The sequence below is a fragment of the Homo sapiens genome, chromosome 7, assembly GCF_000001405.40.
Source record: "Homo sapiens chromosome 7, GRCh38.p14 Primary Assembly".
NCBI lineage: Eukaryota > Metazoa > Chordata > Mammalia > Primates > Hominidae > Homo > Homo sapiens.
The window spans coordinates 44,027,699-44,044,688 of record NC_000007.14 but is presented as its reverse complement, the minus strand read 5'-3'; the positions used below and the strand labels follow the sequence as shown (position 1 = coordinate 44,044,688).

Below are 16,990 nucleotides of genomic sequence, written 5' to 3'. Positions count from 1 at the left end.
GGGCCGCCCCTTTGACAGCCGACAAGCCTCGCCTCCGACAACCGGAAACCCCGCCCCACGGCAGGAAGCGGAAATGGTAGGGGCCAGCCGCACCCGCGGGTCCTAGCGAGCTGTCCGGCCAGCTGGTCTAGCATGCAGGTCCCGCGAATGCCGAAGGACAAGCGGGAGAAGGGAGGACCCGGCCTTCTGTTTGTCCTCAGGGAGGGATCCTGGGGCGCAGACTAGCCCGTCTTCTGGTCCCACCCAAACGGCAGCTCGACTTGGAAGCCTGGCCGCAGGGACCCAGTCCAGCCCCCGCTAGCTGCTCTCACAGCACCGTGCTTATTCTTTTCTAAATCTTGTTATGTCGATGCGCTTATTTGAACGATCTTGGGTTCACTGCAGTCTCCCTCCAGACGAGGTCTTCAGCCTGTTTGTGGACCCTCAACAGTTTGATCTGTGAAAGAAACATGCATAAATGTATGAATACACGAATAAATGAGTGCTAAGTGACGATCACACCGCTACAAACCTAACTGAAAGTGACTGTGCTTTCTCACTCTCACCTGAGTTTTTCCCTCTGCAGTTTGGTCGAGGCCAGGATAGTGGAGGCATGAAGAGAACCTGTCTTGTGCTTCACCTGCACATCTGGCTGGTCGCCCCTAGAAGGTGTCAGTAATTCCTCAATCTGCTCCCCTCCTCCTGGGAGCACCAGTTTTTCCATCCACAAATCTGCATACACTTGACTGAACTAGCTTCTTATCTGTATGATAGAGAAACATGCCAAAGCGCAAGGCAGCTCACGGCTTATTTCCTCCCATGGAGAATAACTCCCCTGCCTCCTTAAAATATAAATCCTGCCGGGCACGGTGGCTCACGCCTGTAATCCCAGCACTTTGGGAGGCCGAGGTGGACGAATCAAGGGGTCACGAGATCGACACCATCCTGGCTAATACGATGAAACCCCGTCTCTACTAAAACAAAAAATTAGCCAGGCGTGGCGGCGTGCGCCTGTAGTCCCAGCTACTCGGGAGGCTGAGGCAGGAGAATGGCGTGAACCAGGGAGGCAGAGCTTGCACTGAGCCGACATAGCGCCACTGCACTCCAGCCTGGGCTACAGGGCGGGACTCTGTCTCAAAAAAAGTATAGTATATATATACATATATACACACACATAGTATATATATGTGTATATATATACACACACACATAGTGTATATGTATATATACTATGTGTGTATATATGTATACATATATGTATATATATGCATATGTATAGGTATACATATATGTATATATGCATAGGTATAGGTATACATATATGTATATATATGCATAGATATAGGTATACATATATGTATATATATGCATAGGTATAGGTATACATATATGTATATATATGCATAGGTATAGGTATACATATATATGTATATATATGCATAGGTATAGGTATACATATATGTATATATATGCATAGGTATAGGTATACATATATGTATATATATGCATAGGTATAGGTATACATATATGTATATATATGCATAGGTATAGGTATACATATATGTATATATGCATATGTATATATGCATATGTATATATGTGCATATGTATATGTATATGTGCATATGTATATATGCATATGTATATGTATATATGCATATGTATATATATGCATATGTATATGTATACATATATTATATATGCATATGTATATGTATATATGCACATGTATATATATACACATATGTATATATATGCATATGTGTATATATATACATATAGTATATATATGTATATATCCACAATCCCTTAAGTCCAGATGTGCTTTGGAATTCAATCTAAGATTTCAGAAAAGTTATACCATGTATGTCCTGGGTAAGCCCTTATCACAGGATCTGGACAGGAACTGGTAATCAGACATGTTCATGCTTTTGCTGTGATATGTGTGAATAATCAGCTAAGTGTGTGATATGTGTGAATAATCAGCTAAGTGGAATATAAGACGACTCTAAATATCCTCATGACAATTAAGGTCAGTTTTTGCTACCAAATGAACTACCAAAATCTTAAGGTGTTTGAGTCTGGATGGTGCAGATAAGGGCTTGTGAACCTAATTTGGACAAAAACATGGTTCATTTGTTATGCCCATTTTTCTTTCTGTTCACATGATTGTTGCTTGTTGTCTTGTTTGTTTTGTGCTGCTATAACAAAGTACCACAGACTATGTAATTTACATAGAACAGAAATTTATTTTCTCACAGTTCTGGAGGCTGGGAAGTCCAAGGTCATGGCACTAGTATCTGATGAGGGGCTTCTTGCTGCATCATAACATGGTGAAAGGCAAAGAGGATGAGAGAAAGACAAAAAGGGGCCAGACTCATTCTTTTTTTTTTTTTTTTTTTTGAGATGGAATCTCACTCTGTAGCCAGGCTGGAGTGCAGTGACCACGAACTCGGCTCACTGAAACCTCTGCCTCCCAAGTTCAAGTAATTCTCCTGCCTCAGCCTCCTGAGTAGCTGGGACTACAGGCACGTGCCACCATGCCCAGATAATTTTTGTATTTTTAGTAGAGATAGGGTTTCACCATGTTGGCCAGGATGGTCTCGATCTCTTGACCTCGTGATCTGCCCACCTTGGCCTCCCAAAGTACTGGGATTACAGGTGTGAGCCACCCTGCCCGGCCCCAAACTCAGTCTTTTCTAATGAACCTGAGGCAGGAGAATAGGGGCTGGAAGCAGGCAACAGAACGCCAATGCACACTAACCTCCTAGAACCAAATCAAAAGGAAAACGCCTACTTATGACCAAGTAACAAAAGACCAACACCCTGTTCCGGAGCAACTCTCTGGCCTCAAAGTCCATGGAGTCTTTTCTGAAGGTGAGGTTGCATGCTATATTGTCCTCATCTTGCAAATGACAACACTGAGCTTCAGAGAGAGCGACAGAGGGGGCTGGGACTTCGACTCCAGTGTTCTATCTCCATATTGAGAGCCCTTTAAGGTTAAGAATGTGGCTGGGCATAGTGGCTCATGCCTGTAATTCCAGCACTTTGGGAGGCTGAGGCGGGCGGATCACTTAAGGTCAGGAGTTCGAGACCAGCCTGGCCAACATGGCGAAACCCCATCTCTACTAAAAATACAAAAATTAGCCTGGCATGGTGGTGGGCACCTGTGATCCCAGCTACTGGGGAGGCTGAGGCAGGAGACTCACTTGAACCAGAAGCCAGAGATTGTAGTGAGCTCACGCCACTGCACTCTAGCCTGGGCCCCGTGCTAGACTCCGTGCCCCGCACCCCCCCCCCCCAAAAGAATGTGTGTGTGATTAAAATTTAAGTTAGAGACAGTCTCACTATGTTGCCCAGGCTGGTCTCAAACTCCTGGCCTCAAGTGATCCTCCTGCCTCGGCCTCCCAAAGTGCTAGGATTACAAGGGCTAAGAATTCTAGTCATTCATTCACTCACTCATTCATTCATTCATGAATAAACAGTTTGCCCTGCTTGTGTACCTGTCCCCCTCCTGGGCGGATACGGCAGGCAAACGGTGCAAGGGCGGCTGCCGGGAGAAGGTGGGCAGCTGGAGTGGGACTGGGGGAGACAGGATCAATGTGACCTGCGGTGGTCCCCAGGTGGCCGGGATGCAGTACCTGCACGGCGTCCTGGGCCCCATCATCAACAAGGTGTTTGAGGAGAAGTACGTGGAGCTGGACCCCAGCAAAGTGGAAGTTAAGGATGTAGGGTGAGGCCGGGGGTAACTCCGGGGGGGTGCGGGGCGCAGCGGCAGCGGGTTGGGATCAGGCCCTGTCAGCATGTGTGTTTGTGCTTCTGCCCACCCGTGTATTGTCCCCTGTGTCCGTGTCCCGGCTGCTGTGAGAGCCACTGTTCCTGTCGTGGCCCTGGCGCTGACCGTGACCTCCTCTGCCAACCCGCCCCGTTCCACGCAGGTGTTCCGGGCTGCACCGCCCGCAGACCGAGGCCGAGGTGCTGGAGCAGAGCGCGCAGACGCTGCGCGCCCACCTGGGGGCCCTGCTGAGCGCGCTCAGCCGCTCGGTTCCCGCGTGCCCCGCCGTGGTGCGCGCCACCTTCCGCCAGCTCTTCCGGCGCGTGCGCGAGCGCTTCCCCGGCGCCCAGCACGAGGTGCGCCCTCCACCCGCTGGGCTAGGCTGGGCCGGGTTGGACTGGGCTGGGGCGAGGGGCGGGCGAAGAGCGGTGGGGAACCAGGGAGCGCTGGGGAGGACCAGGGAGGCTGTGTCCCGGCGAGGGTCAGGGACGGAGCCTAAGGGGAGGGGGCTGCCAGGAGCCCTGGTCTGGGGGACTCCAGCCCGCGCTCTTCCGCACCCCTCCAGAATGTACCGTTCATCGCCGTCACCAGCTTCCTGTGCCTGCGCTTCTTCTCTCCCGCCATCATGTCGCCCAAGCTCTTCCACCTGCGGGAGCGCCACGCGGACGCCCGCACCAGCCGCACCCTGCTCCTGTTGGCCAAGGTGCGGGCCTTGCGGCCACGGGCGGGATGCACAGCTGGGTGTCCTACCGGGGCCCTGGCCTGGACTGCAGAGTGTTCCCTACCGGCTCCGGCGAGGCCACTGGCACGCCCACGTAGGCACTGCACTTCACAGTTTGCAAAGCCTTCCTGTGGCCACCTTGTCCGAGTTCCATCTCATGGATAAGGGAACAGGCCTGCGAGGGGTCGGGGGTTGCCAAGGCCGCCCATCCTGTCGGTGGTGAATCGCGGGACCTTCCAACCCAGGTCTGCTTACTCTCAGGCTGCACCTATGTGCCCGGCACCGGGGTGGGGTATCCAGTGCAGCAGCGTCAGTTAAACCTACAGAGGAAGGCCCAAGTGGTCTCAGTTATCATAAGGCATCAAACTTCATGATCCTCTCCTCCCTGATCCCTAGTGGGGCTGGAGGGGGCCCGTGGGCATGGCCTCTGTCGCCTCTGCCTCCATCGCTACAGCTGAGTAGCAAAGACTTGGGGAGGGGGGGTGGGAGGGGGTGCAGTGGCTAGGCCCCTAACCTAGCAGAACCTGGTCCTTCCTGCTGTCACCTCCAGGCAGTCCAGAACGTGGGCAACATGGACACGCCGGCTTCCAGGGCCAAGGAGGCTTGGATGGAGCCGCTGCAGCCCACCGTGCGCCAGGGCGTGGCGCAGCTGAAGGACTTCATCACCAAGCTCGTGGACATCGAGGAGAAGGACGGTGAGCGCCGCCCTGCACAGACCCGCCCACAGCCTACTGCTGACGTTTGCTCCGCCCTTGAGCCCCACGGCCCCACCCACCGCTGTTTGTTCCTCTCGTGGCCCCACCCACCGCCTGCTGTTGACATTTGCCAGGCCCCCAGGCCATAGACCCACGCACCACTGTTTGTGCTTCCTGTGACCCTGCCCACTGCCTGCTGTTGACGTTTGCCCCACCCCTAGACCCATGGCCTCACCTCCCATCATCTGTGCCTGTTGACATTTGCTCCATCCTTGAGCTCCATAGCCCCGCCGCCACCTGCTACTGACGCGTGTCCCGCCTCCAAGCCCATGGCCCTGCCTTCCTCAGTCCACCTGTCACCCCGCTCACCACCAGCTGTTGATGTTTGCTCCGCCCTTGAGCCCCATGACTACGTCCACTGCCTGCTGTTCAGATTTGCTCAGCCCTTGAGCCCCATGGCCCCGCCCACTGCTCCGCCCCCCCCCCCCAGTCCCGCCCTCATTCCCTGGGCTCTCTATTCCCCTCCCTCCCTGGCCTGGCAGAGCTGGACCTGCAGCGGACGCTGAGTTTGCAGGCGCCACCTGTGAAGGAGGGGCCACTCTTCATCCACAGGACCAAGGGCAAGGGCCCCCTCATGTCCTCCTCCTTCAAGAAGCTCTACTTCTCCCTCACTACCGAGGCCCTCAGCTTCGCGAAGACGCCCAGCTCCAAGGTGGGTAAGGAGGGAGGCCGGCAAGTGGGGCTCTGAGAGGCCGGCAAGTGGGGCACCTTAGAGGCACCTGTCCCCTTCCTTGGAGCCCACTTGAGGTACCCCCGGGGTCAGAGAAGAAAGCCAGGTGTGTGGCATCTGTACTGCTTGTCAGAACCTAGGAGGGCCGGGCACGGTGGCTCACGCCTGTAATCCCAGGACTTTGGGAGGCCAAGGCGGGTGGATCACTTGAGGTTAGGAGTTTGAGACCAGCCTGGCCAACATGGAGAAACCCCGTCTCTACTAAAAATACAAAAAATCAGCCGGGTGTGGTGGTGGGTGCCTGTAGTCCCAGCTACTCGGGAGCCTGAGGCACGGGAATCGCTTGAACCCGGGAGGCAGAAGTTGCAGTGAGCCGAGATCGTGCCACTGCACTCCAACCTGGGCAACAGAGCAAGACTCCGTCTCAAAAAAAAAAATGAATATGGAGGAAGTTGATCCGACCTTACCAGGTTGTTGAGGATTAAATGAGATGATCTCCCTAAGGGTCCTGACCCAGGGCCTGGCAGGTAGTACTATTTAGGCAAATGGTATTATTAAAGATAGTACATCACCTGGGCTGCTAGATGAGTAGGAGGCTAGGGCAAACAGGGGAGGCTTCCTGGAACGGGCAGGAATATAGAAGCATGGAATCTTGGTGTGGGAGGGGATCTCAAAGATCACCTTGTACAGCCCTCTCTGAGTCATGGGTCACCTCTCCTGCAAGCTCTCTTCTCCCAGGAAGGGCTGAGGACATACTTCCTCCATGGACCTGGTGACTGCTTGCTGTACACCTGCCCCTAGTCATGCAGGCTATGGGGATGATCTTCCAGGAGTACCCAGCCTAGCCCTGGGCAGGTGAGAGCAGGCTAGGAGTAGGTGAAGGAGCTCATCACCCACCCTGTTCTCAACCAGCTCAGGGGTCCCACCAGATGAGGGGCCCGCCCCTTCCGACCAAAGACCCCTCAGATGATGATAATTATTTTTTGAGACAGGGTCTTGCTCTGTCACCCAGACTGTAGTGCAGTGGTGCGATCATAGCTGACTGCAGCCTCAAACTCCTGGGCTCAAGCAATCTTCCTGCCTCAGCCTCCTGAGTAGCTGGGACTACAGGCACGTGCCACCAAGCCCAGCTAATTTTCTTTAACATTTTTTTTTTGCAGAGATGGGGTCTTGCTATGCTGCCCAGGCTGTTCTCAAACTCCTGGCCTCAGGCAATCCTCCTGCCCCAGCCTCCCAAAGCACTCAGATGATTATTATACATCTTCCTTGCCAGGGTTGAAAGATTTGACTACATGGGCATTATTTAATTCTGGTCCCATTTTTTTTTTTTTTTTTGAGATGGAGTTTCACTTTTGTTGCCCCGGCCAGAGTGCAATGGTGCGATCTTGGCTCACCGCAACCTCCGCCTCCCGGGTTCAAGCGATTCTCCTGCCTCAGCCTCCCAAGTAGCTGGGATTACAGGCATGCACCACCATGCCCGGCTAATTTTGTATTTTTAGTAGACACGGAGTTTCTCCATGTTTGTCAGGCTGGTCTCGAACTCCCAACCTCAGGTGATCCGCCTTCCTCGGCCTCCCAAAATGCTGGGATTACATGTGTGAGCCACTGCGCCCGGTCAGGATATGACTGTTAGAGCTTGGGACTACAAAAGCAAGTTGGAAAATTAATAAATGCAAAGTCACAAAGCCTTGGCCACGGCTGGATTGACTTTGTAGCCCAGGGAATGCTGGCTGTCCAGACACTACCCCAAAGCTCACACCTCCGAGGCCTTCTGGGAGTGCCCCCCAGAGAGGCCAGGTCCTCCTCTCCCAGTTGCTGGGCACTTGGTCACCATCAGTCTGTGCTCTGCCCTGGCTGAGGTCACTCTGGGTCTCCCACGCCTACCCCTGGTGCTGCAGAAGGGGAGACTGAGGCCCAGAGATGGGGAATGGAATGCCCCTGGCTAGGTCCCTGAGCCTCCTCCTCCCTGACTGCCCCAGAAAAGCGCCCTCATCAAGTTAGCCAACATCCGGGCAGCAGAAAAGGTTGAGGAAAAGAACTTTGGCAGCTCGCACGTCATGCAGGTCATCTACACGGACGACGCCGGCAGGCCCCAGACTGCCTACCTGCAGTGCAAGGTGCGGGGAGGGGAGCGGGTGCTGTGGGAGTGGCCTGAACACTGTGGGAGTGGCTTGGGTGCTGTGGGAGTGGCCTGGGTACTGTGGGAGTGGCATGAGCCCTGTGGGAGTGGCCTGAGCTCTATGGGAGTGGCCTGGGTGCTGTGGGAGTGCCCTGGATGCTATGGGAATGCCCTGGGTGCTGTGGGAATGGCCTGGGTGCTATGGGAGTGGCCTGAGCTCTGTGGGAGTGGCCTGGGTGCTGTGGGAGGGGCCTGAGTGGACTGGATGAGAAAAGAGTTGATTGAGCCTCTCGCCCCGCTACCAGCTACATCAGGCACCGCAGGGTGTGTCTAATCTGGGAGGTGTCAGGGACAGGTGTGTGTGTGTTGTCCAGGGGCCTGAGCCCCCAGGAGGCCATGGCCCATGTCTTTCCCTGGGCATCCATGTGTAGGTCTGTGTGTGGGCCAGTGCACAGACAGGTGCATCCCCGTGATGTGAAATTTGCACGTTGCACCCGTTTGTTGGAAACTATTTCCAGATAACTGAGATGGGGGCCAGGCACGCTGGTTCACGCGGATAATCCCAGCATTCTAGCCGGGGCAACAGAGCAAGACCCTTTCTCTAAAAAAGAAAGTCTGAGCTGGCACCTGTGTGGTTCTGTGTCTGTATCAATGCCTAATAATCAAACATTATGCTCTGTGTGGCTCTGGGTGCATGTTCTCAAGTAACCTTCTCATCTGTTCCTTCATTAACTCATTCATTCATTTATTTAAAAAATACTTACTGAGCACCTCCTAGGTTCCAGGCATGATTCTAGGTGAGGGGATACAGTGACAGATGAGGCAGAGTCCTGCCCTCATGGAGCTGATATCCCAGGGAGAAGATGGGCCAATAAATACATGTTTCAAATGTCGGCTCATGCCTGTAGTCCCAGTACTTTGGGAGGCTGAGGTGGGAGGATCACTGGAGGCCAGGAGTTTGAGAACAGCCTGGCCAATGTAGCAAGACCCCATCTCTACAAAAAAAAAAGTAGCCAGCCATGATGGCATGCACCTGTGATTCCAGCTACTTGGGAGGCTGAGGCAGGAAGATAGCCTGAACCCAGGAGTTGGAGGCTGCAGTGAACTATGATCACACCACTGCACTCCAGCCTGGGCTACAGAGTGAGACCCTGTCTCTTAAAAAAAAAAAAAAAAGCAAATTGTGATAGTGACTTGAAGGGAACCAGAAGGGACTAAGGGAGCAAGGGAGGGAAGAGAGTGGGGTATAGCAGGGAGCGGTCTGTCCTATTAAGAGTGGTCAGGGAGAATACAAAAATTAGCTGGGCGTGGTGGCGTGTGCCTGTAGTCCCAGCTACTTGGGGGGCTGAGGCAGGAGAATCACTTGAACCTGAGAGGTGGAGGTTGCAGTGAGCTGAGATCGAGCCACTGCACTCCAGCCTGGTGACAGAGCAAGACTCCATCTCAAAATAAATAAATTAATTAATTAGTAAATTAATTAAAGAGTGGTCAGGGAGGACCTCTGATGGGTGGCATTCGAGCAGGGACCTTGTAGGAGGGTGACCCAGATGTGTATCTAGGGCAGGGACATGTGGGACAAGTAGGAAGCCTGCAGCTGGAGGGGGGTTGGTTTCTTCCAGGCTTGACCGTCCTGGCCTGTGGGGAGGAAGTCACAGACCTGTCCCTCTGTGCCCTTCCCTCTAGGAGTTCCCTTTTGTGTCAGGGTCCAGAGCCACTGGGAAAAGTAGTGATATCAGGGCCACCAAATATATTTGGCGGGTTCTGGAATACCTACGAGCGTGGCCAAGGGGCCAGCGGCGGCTGAAATCCAGCCCACACCAGCCTCCTGGGCTCCTACCATCCCGGTGCCTTCCGTGGGGACAAGTGGAGCTGTTGCCACCAAAAAGACAAGACAGGTGGGAGAGGAGAGGATGAAGTCTTGCTGTGTTGCCCAGGCTGGTCTTGAATTCCTGGGCTCAAGCGATCTTCCCACCTCGGCCCCCTATAATCCCAGCTGTAGTCCCAGCACTTTGGGAGGCTGGGGTGGGAAGATCACTGGAGGCCAGGAGTTTGAGAACAGCCTGGCCAATGTAGCAAGACCCCATCTCTAAAAAAAAGAAATTAGCCAGCCATGATGGCATTATAGGAGTGAGCCACTGGGATTATAGGAGTGAGCCACTGCACCTGCTCTCCAGGCCATGCGCCCGGGCATGGGTCATGTTCCACTGGAGGAAGGGCAGCTTCTCCTAATTCACTCAAAGCTGCTGGGTTGGTATGGTGGGGAACATGGTGTCTGGCATGGTACAGGAGCTCCGGGTTAGGAGGGCTTCCTGGAGGAGGTGACGTCTGAACAGGCCTCCCCCTCTGTGTCCCCTGCAGTGTGTGAATGAGCTTAACCAGTGGCTGTCTGTGCTGCGGAAGGTGAGCATCAACAACACCGGACTGCTGGGCTCCTACCACCCTGGCATCTTCTGTGGGGACAAGTGGAGCTGCTGCCACCAAAAAGAGAAGACAGGTGGGAGAGGAGGCCTGGGTCCCGGGCTCTGCATCCGTCCACTGCGAGATCGGGCCTCTGGCTGAACGATGGGACCGTGAGCCCTGCTGTGCACCTGCAGGGACATAACCCAAGGAATGCTGGCCCCTCCAGGAGCTCTGGGCAGAAAGGGTCCCGTGGACCAGGTGGTTTGGGAAATGCCACGTGATGTGTGTGAAGCACATGAGTGAATTCGCTGAAGGCTCTAAGGAGGCCCGAAAACACGTTAGAATCCCATTTCTTTTTATTTCTTCTTCTTTTTTTTTTTTCAGACACAGATTTTCACTCTGTCCCCCAGACTGGAGTGCAATGGCACGATCTCAGCTCACTGCAATCTCCACCTCCCAGGGTCAAGCAATTCTCCTGCCTCAACCTCCCCAGTAGCTGGGATTACCGGCACTCGCCACCAAGCCTAGCTAATTTTTTTGTATTTTGACTAGAGATGGGGTTTCACCATGTTAGTCAAGCTGCTCTTGTTTTTTTTTGTTGTTGTTGTTGTTGTTGTTTGATACCAAGTCTCGCTCTATCATCCAGGCTGGAGTGCAGTGGTGCAATCTCGGCTCACTGCAATCTCTGTTTCCCAGGCTCAAGTGATTCTCCTGCCTCAGCCTCCCAAGTACTACAGGCGCAAGCCACTGCACCCAGCTAAGTTTTGTATTTTCAGTAAAGACGGGGTTTTACCATGTTGGCCAGGCTGGTCTTGAACTCCCGACCTCGTGATCTGCCCTCCTCGGCCTCCCAAAGTGCTGGGATTACAGGTGTGAGCCACCACGCCCGGCCTAGAATTCCATTTCTAACGTGGTTTAACCCAGCACTTCCCAAACTCTTTTGACAGGGAACCCTTCTCTTCCCCAAGGAGCTTCTTACAGAACAGGTGTTCTCAGGAACACATTCGAGGAGCCCCCTGCTAATGAGAGCCAGAGAGCCCCTGGGTTCGCACACTCCAATGCTGGCCATCTGAATCCGGAGCTGTGGGTGGGAGGGGACCCTGAGCCTTGGGCACTAGAGGGATGGCATAGAGGAGCTTCTAGAAGGACGCCATACTGTGTAGTACTCTAGGTTCTAGCACCTGTGGTTCTTGAGCACTTGAAATGTGGCTTGAGTTGCTGAGGGGTTTTTTTTGTTTAATTTTTTAAAACAGGGTCTTGCTCTGTTGCCCAGGCTGGAGTGTAGTGGCACGATCATAGCTCACTGCAGCCTCCAACTCCTGGGCTCAAGCAATCCTCCTGCCTCAGCCTCTGAGTAGGCTGGCACTACCGGCATGCATCACCACACCTGGCTCATTTAAAAAAAATTTTTTTAGAGGTGGGATCTTGCTATGTTGTTCAGGCTGGTCTTGAATTCCCAGGCTCAAGCAATCCTCCTGCCTCGGCCTCCCAAAGTGCTGAGATTGTAGGAGTGAGCCACCACATCTGGCCTGAGTTTCACATTTTTAAAAATGTTGTTTTGGCCGGGTGTGGTGGCTCACGCCTGTAATCCTAGCACTTTGGGAGGCCAAGGTAGGCGGATTGCCTGAGCTCAGGAGTTAGAGACAAGCCTAGGCAACATGGTGAAACTCCATCTCTGCTAAAATACAAAAAAAAAATTAGCCAGGCATGGCGGCGTGGGCCTGTAGTCCCAGCCACTCAGGAGGCTGAGGCAGGAGAACTGCTTGAACCTGGGAGGCAGAGGTTGCAGTAAGCCAAGATGGTGCCACTGCACTCCAGCCTGGCGACAGAGCGAGACTCCATCTCAAAAAAAAAAAAAAAAAAACAAAAACAGAAAAGAAACAAAAAACGTTGTTTTAATTTTAATTAACTCAAATAGCTTCATGTGGCTAGCTGCCGCCCTGTAGAACAGCACAATTCTAGAACTTTCGAGACCTTCTCCCTGTTATCCACACTTACTTTACAGAGGAGACTCAGCACTTCGAGTCCCCTGTCCTTCAGGCCAGGCCAAACCTTGGTCCCCAGAGCCCAGTGTGGCAGAGGCCATCGAAAACTGACCCACGCACTCTAGCCCAGCCCTGGATTTACAGCCAAGCACTGTATAGGGATGGGTGACTCTTTTGTTTTTGTTTTTGTTTTGAGTTGGGTCTCTCACTCTCTCACCCAGGCTGGAGTGCAGTGGCATAATCATAGCTCACTGTAGCCTTGACCTCCTGGGCTCAAGCCATCCTCCTGCCTCAGCCTCCTGCAGAACTGGGACTACAGGCACATGCCACCACACTCAGCTATTTTCTGTTTTATTTTTTTGTAGAGTCAGGGTCTCACTATGTTGCCCAGACTGGTCTTGAACTCCTGGCCTCAAGCTATCTTCCTGCCTCAGCCTCCCAAAGTGCTGGGATTACAGGTGTGAGCCACTGTGCCTGGCCTCTTGGTGACTCTTTGCAAGGGCATTGCTGGCTGGCTGATATGGCCTGCAGCCTCTGCCTGTAACCATCAGAGCGATACTCTCATTATCGGCAAGGTGGGACCCACCCTGGCCCAAGAGACAGGGCCTGTTATTCCACTGTATGGAGGAGAAGCTGAGGCTTAGGGAAGGCAGATGACTTGGCAAGGTCATAAAGACAGCAAGCTGCAGGACCAGCTCATTCTAAGGCATGAACCCCCTGTGGCCCACCTCACCATGATGTTAACGTTTCAGCCTGCTCCCTTCCAGGCAGACAGTTGTCCAGAAAGTTACCCGGCTCCCTGGCTGTGCGCGGTGGCTCACGCCTGTAACTCAGCACTTTGGGAGGCCGAGACGGGCAAATCACGAGGTCAGGAGATCGAGACCACCCTGGCTAACACAGTGAAACCCCGTCTCTACTAAAAATATAAAAAATTAGCTGGGCGTGGTGGCGGGCATCTGCAGTCCCAGCTACTCAGGAGTCTGAAACAGGAGAATGGCGTGAACCTGGGAGGCAGAGCTCGCAGTGAGCCAAGATCGTGCCACTGCACTGCAGCCTGCGCGACAGAGCGAGACTCCGTCTCAAAAAAAACCAAAAGTTACCCAGCAACCCGAGTCATATCCTGATGATATCCATGCTCCTCAGTCACGCATCCCGTGGTGCAGGGGCTGACCCCAAGAGGAGCTGCTGCCCCCAGAGGGTGGGGAGCCGAGGCAGGGCCTGGGTCAGACTTACCAGGCTATGCTCCCAGCCCAGCCCTCACCAGGGACCCCCGAGTGCATCTCTCTCCTCTCCAGGCCTCTGTTTCTCCATCTGTGCAACCACAGTGTTGGACATGGTAGTCCCAAGTGTCTGCTTGTAACTTTGCCCTCTCTGTGCCCCCAGGTCAGGGCTGCGATAAGACCCGGTCACGGGTGACCCTGCAGGAGTGGAATGACCCTCTTGACCATGACCTTGAGGCCCAGCTCATCTACCGGCACCTGCTGGGCGTGGAGGCCATGCTGTGGTGAGTCCCACCCAGGAGAGCCTGTGCAGCCTGGGGAACGTGCCAGGCTTGGGGCTGCTCCATGGTGGCTGGTCACCTCTCTTGTAATTGGCCACATCTGGGGAGGGCACCAGGAGTACCTCTCTGCAGCACGAGGCCAGCTCAGGTTAGGACAGAGGCCCCAAGGGTCAGGGCCATGCCTGCTTCATGCCATGTGCTGACTGAGCCCACCTTGCAACCTGCCCAGCTGTTCCCCTGGGCCCTTGGAGTACAGGCACAGCCTCAGCCAATTCCCTGAGTTCCTTGGCCATCTTGCTTCGTCCAGTGGTTCTCAGCCTTGGCAGAAGCTTAGAAAAAACAGGATGCTTTTAAAGATCAGCTTTAAAAAACAGGATGCCAAGGCCCCATCACTCAGGGTCTCTGGAGATGTGGCTGGTGCCAGGATACTTCAAGGTGATCCAGTGCTTCCCATGCGCTCAGCTTCCCCTGAGCCAACTGGAGCTGGAGCTCATTCATCTGTCACACCCCTACACTCTGCAAGGAGGAAGGGTGTGGTCCTCCCCATTCCTCATCGACTCTTCCAGGGTTTATCTCTGCCCTCAAAGCCCACAAAGGTGGGGTGCGGTGACTCATGCCTGTTATCCCAGCTCTTTGGGAGGTGGAGGCAGGCAGATTGTTGGAGATCAGGAGTTTGAAACCAGCCTGGCCAACATGGCGAAACCTCTTCTCTACTAAAAATACAAAAATTAACTGATGTGGTGGAGGGCGCCTGTAATCCCAGCTACTCAGGAGGCTGAGGCAGGAGAATTGCTTGAACCCAGGAGGTGGAAGTTGCAGTGAGCTTAGATTGCGCCACTGCACTCCAGCCTGGACCGCAGAACAAGACTCTGTCTCAAAAACAAAACAAAACAAATGCAAAGGGCCTTCTGGTCAACCCACAGTCGGATGGGGAGGAGGAGGAGACACGGGGAGGGAGAAGGTGGAAGGTGCCCTGGTGGGCCTTGGCCCAGCCTCTTCATAGACTGAAAGAGTCAGCCCTGCCATCACCCCCAGAGCCACCTCTAGCCCAGGAGGCCCATGCTGGGCCACCCCCAGCCTTCCCACAAGGACACCAGAAGGTCTGGCAGGGAGAGTGGAGGCTACTGGCCCTCACTCTGACCTCCCCCACAGGGAGAGGCACCGGGAGCTGAGCGGGGGTGCAGAGGCAGGCACGGTGCCCACGAGCCCTGGCAAAGGTAGGTCTTGCCCACCTGGGACTTGCTCGTGGCCCGAGCCCCCTCCAGAGATGCACGGGTGGGGTCCTCGGGCTCACTCCCAGGGGCCCTCACGGCTGCCTCTGCCCACAGTCCCCGAGGACTCATTGGCCCGGCTGCTCCGGGTGCTGCAGGACCTCCGCGAGGCCCATAGCTCCAGCCCGGCCGGCTCCCCACCCTCAGAGCCCAACTGCCTCCTGGAGCTGCAGACGTGAGGCCCGCCCTACGCTCCCTTGCTGAGTCCCCTGCCAAGCGCTCGGAGCCCCTCCAGGACACTCTGCACCCCCTCACCCCGGTCCTCCTCATTAGGGTGCAGGGCCTAGGTCTCTTCCAAGTGGGGGAGGGGGGAGAGTCAGGAATAAGGGGATCCCCAGAAGTGCAGAGCTGAGCAGGCTTGGGCCTGTCATGGCTGGCCTGAAGTGTCCCCAGCTCCCTACAGCCGCTGTAGCCATCACTGCCTCTCCAGGGACCCTCCTCTCCTGCCTAGGACAGACCCAGCCAGAACCACTGCTAGGATGGGCCACACCCAGGGGTCTGGCCTCCAGGGACCTAGAGAATGGGAGGGAGAACGGGGCCCCAGGAGACCCGGCCGCCACCCCACCCGCTACCCTTGGGTGCCACAGGGCTGTGCTGTTGCCAACAGTAAACCTGCTGTTACTGTCCAGGCTCTGGGGTCTTGTGATGAGGGTCTGGGGAGAAAGTGGGCCCGGGGGGACCCCGGAGGCTGTCGGTGGATGTGCCGATGATGGGGCTGACAGTATGGGCTCTGGGCATCCCTGTTCCCCCCTCTTTCTTCCCCCCACTCTTCTGGGGTCGGGGGTTCCTTTCCCTTCCCAGTTGCTGTCCCTGGGTCCCCTCTTTCATGTCCCACAGGCCACAGAGCCCAGTGTGTCCAACCAGCTGTTCTCTCCTCAAAGCAGCCCCCAAGCAAGTCCCTTCTCTAGGGTGTCCCTGAGGACAGCACAGATGCGGGACTCAGAGACCCCATTCCTCTTCACGCAGCCCTTACCCCAAGCCCTCTAGCTGTGTGGCTGGCAGTGTTGGCCACGTAGGGGCTCCCATCCCCCCACCATTGTGTCACATAGGCTGCCAGGCTCAGCTCCCAGCTGCGTCCACAGTGACCTGGATCAGGGTGGGGACAAGGACTGGACCCTCCTTCTCCAGAAGGCCTTCAGCTCTTGCCTTGCCATGCAGTCACCTCCTTCCCCCTCTGACCCCAGATCCCAAAGGTGCACCGTTGCCCCAGCCCCTTTCTGGCCCCATGGGGTTTCTCTGATGCCTTCATCATAGAGGCCCGGGGCTGGTCCGATGGTTGGCAAAACTTGACTCCGGCCCAGTCCCCACTCTTGGGGACTTAGAACCCCTGGTGTCCTGGGATCTGGCCTGCCTTTCTTTGGTCAGTCCCTGTGGTCCCCCACCAGCTCCCCCTCCCATAGGGCTGCCCACCAAGCCCTGCCCCCAGCCCAAGAGGAGCCCCCACTGCCTGCGGGGCAGTGATGTCTGGCCACCGGCTCACACCAATGACTTGGTCCTGGGGTGGCAGAAGCAGCAGGTGACAGGAGCAGGGCCCCTGTCCCTCTCTTCTGGCCCTGTGGTACCCAGGCCACACGTTGTGCCCGCTCTTAGGGCTGACCGGCTGCAGGGACCACCAGCCGCTGCTACTGTGGGCCGCCCCGGGGCAGGGTGGGCAGGGCTTTTGTGGGTTATGAGGACACAGAAGTCCCTGAGGCCCCCAGACCTGGCACAGCCAACCTCCTTCCTCCCCCGGTTGCCCCCAACTCTAAAGCCTCCTCCCTCCCAGTGTCCACTGGCTCCAGGCTCCTCACAACAGCAGCTCATAGACACAGGGC

General features: G+C 55.1%; 1 long non-coding RNA gene and 1 pseudogene across 4 annotated transcripts, besides 4 other annotated features; one reads left to right on the top strand and one right to left on the bottom strand.

Moving 5' to 3' along the window:
* LINC00957 (long intergenic non-protein coding RNA 957) lies at positions 393 to 5,640 on the bottom strand. Of its 3 annotated transcripts, none has more exons than NR_072981.1 (3): positions 5,406 to 5,640; positions 4,327 to 4,795; positions 393 to 436 (listed from the first exon to the last, which is right to left on the bottom strand). It is a non-coding gene; the product is annotated as a long intergenic non-protein coding RNA 957 (long non-coding RNA). The 3 variants fall into 3 exon arrangements; NR_072982.1 differs by having other exon boundaries at positions 5,540 to 5,640; NR_015401.2 differs by lacking the exon at positions 393 to 436 and adding an exon at positions 2,206 to 2,474 and having other exon boundaries at positions 3,587 to 4,795.
* Positions 4,065 to 4,174: a silencer, noted in NCBI's record as "silent region_18138". NCBI's record gives its function as "represses an Ori minimal core promoter by ATAC-STARR-seq in GM12878 lymphoblastoid cells {active_cell/tissue: GM12878}" and the evidence as "EXISTENCE:reporter gene assay evidence [ECO:0000049][PMID:35858748]".
* Positions 4,066 to 15,802, top strand: RASA4CP (RAS p21 protein activator 4C, pseudogene; annotated as a pseudogene). The gene is made up of 9 exons (NR_024116.2): positions 4,066 to 4,110; positions 4,320 to 4,457; positions 5,026 to 5,170; positions 5,713 to 5,882; positions 7,880 to 8,017; positions 10,378 to 10,513; positions 13,788 to 13,908; positions 15,058 to 15,122; positions 15,234 to 15,802. The product of NR_024116.2 is annotated as an RAS p21 protein activator 4C, pseudogene (transcript).
* Positions 4,265 to 4,354: a silencer, noted in NCBI's record as "silent region_18137". NCBI's record gives its function as "represses an Ori minimal core promoter by ATAC-STARR-seq in GM12878 lymphoblastoid cells {active_cell/tissue: GM12878}" and the evidence as "EXISTENCE:reporter gene assay evidence [ECO:0000049][PMID:35858748]".
* Positions 7,806 to 8,305: an enhancer, noted in NCBI's record as "H3K4me1 hESC enhancer chr7:44075983-44076482 (GRCh37/hg19 assembly coordinates)". NCBI's record gives its function as "activates a minimal SCP1, AML or CMV promoter by ChIP-STARR-seq in naive H9 embryonic stem cells {active_cell/tissue: H9 hESC(naive)}" and the evidence as "EXISTENCE:reporter gene assay evidence [ECO:0000049][PMID:30033119]".
* Positions 13,433 to 13,622: a silencer, noted in NCBI's record as "fragment chr7:44070666-44070855 (GRCh37/hg19 assembly coordinates)". NCBI's record gives its function as "represses an EF-1alpha promoter that drives an FKBP-Casp9 reporter gene in an ReSE screen in K562 erythroleukemia cells {active_cell/tissue: K562}" and the evidence as "EXISTENCE:reporter gene assay evidence [ECO:0000049][PMID:32094911]".
* Positions 15,803 to 16,990: the final 1,188 nt, after the last annotated feature.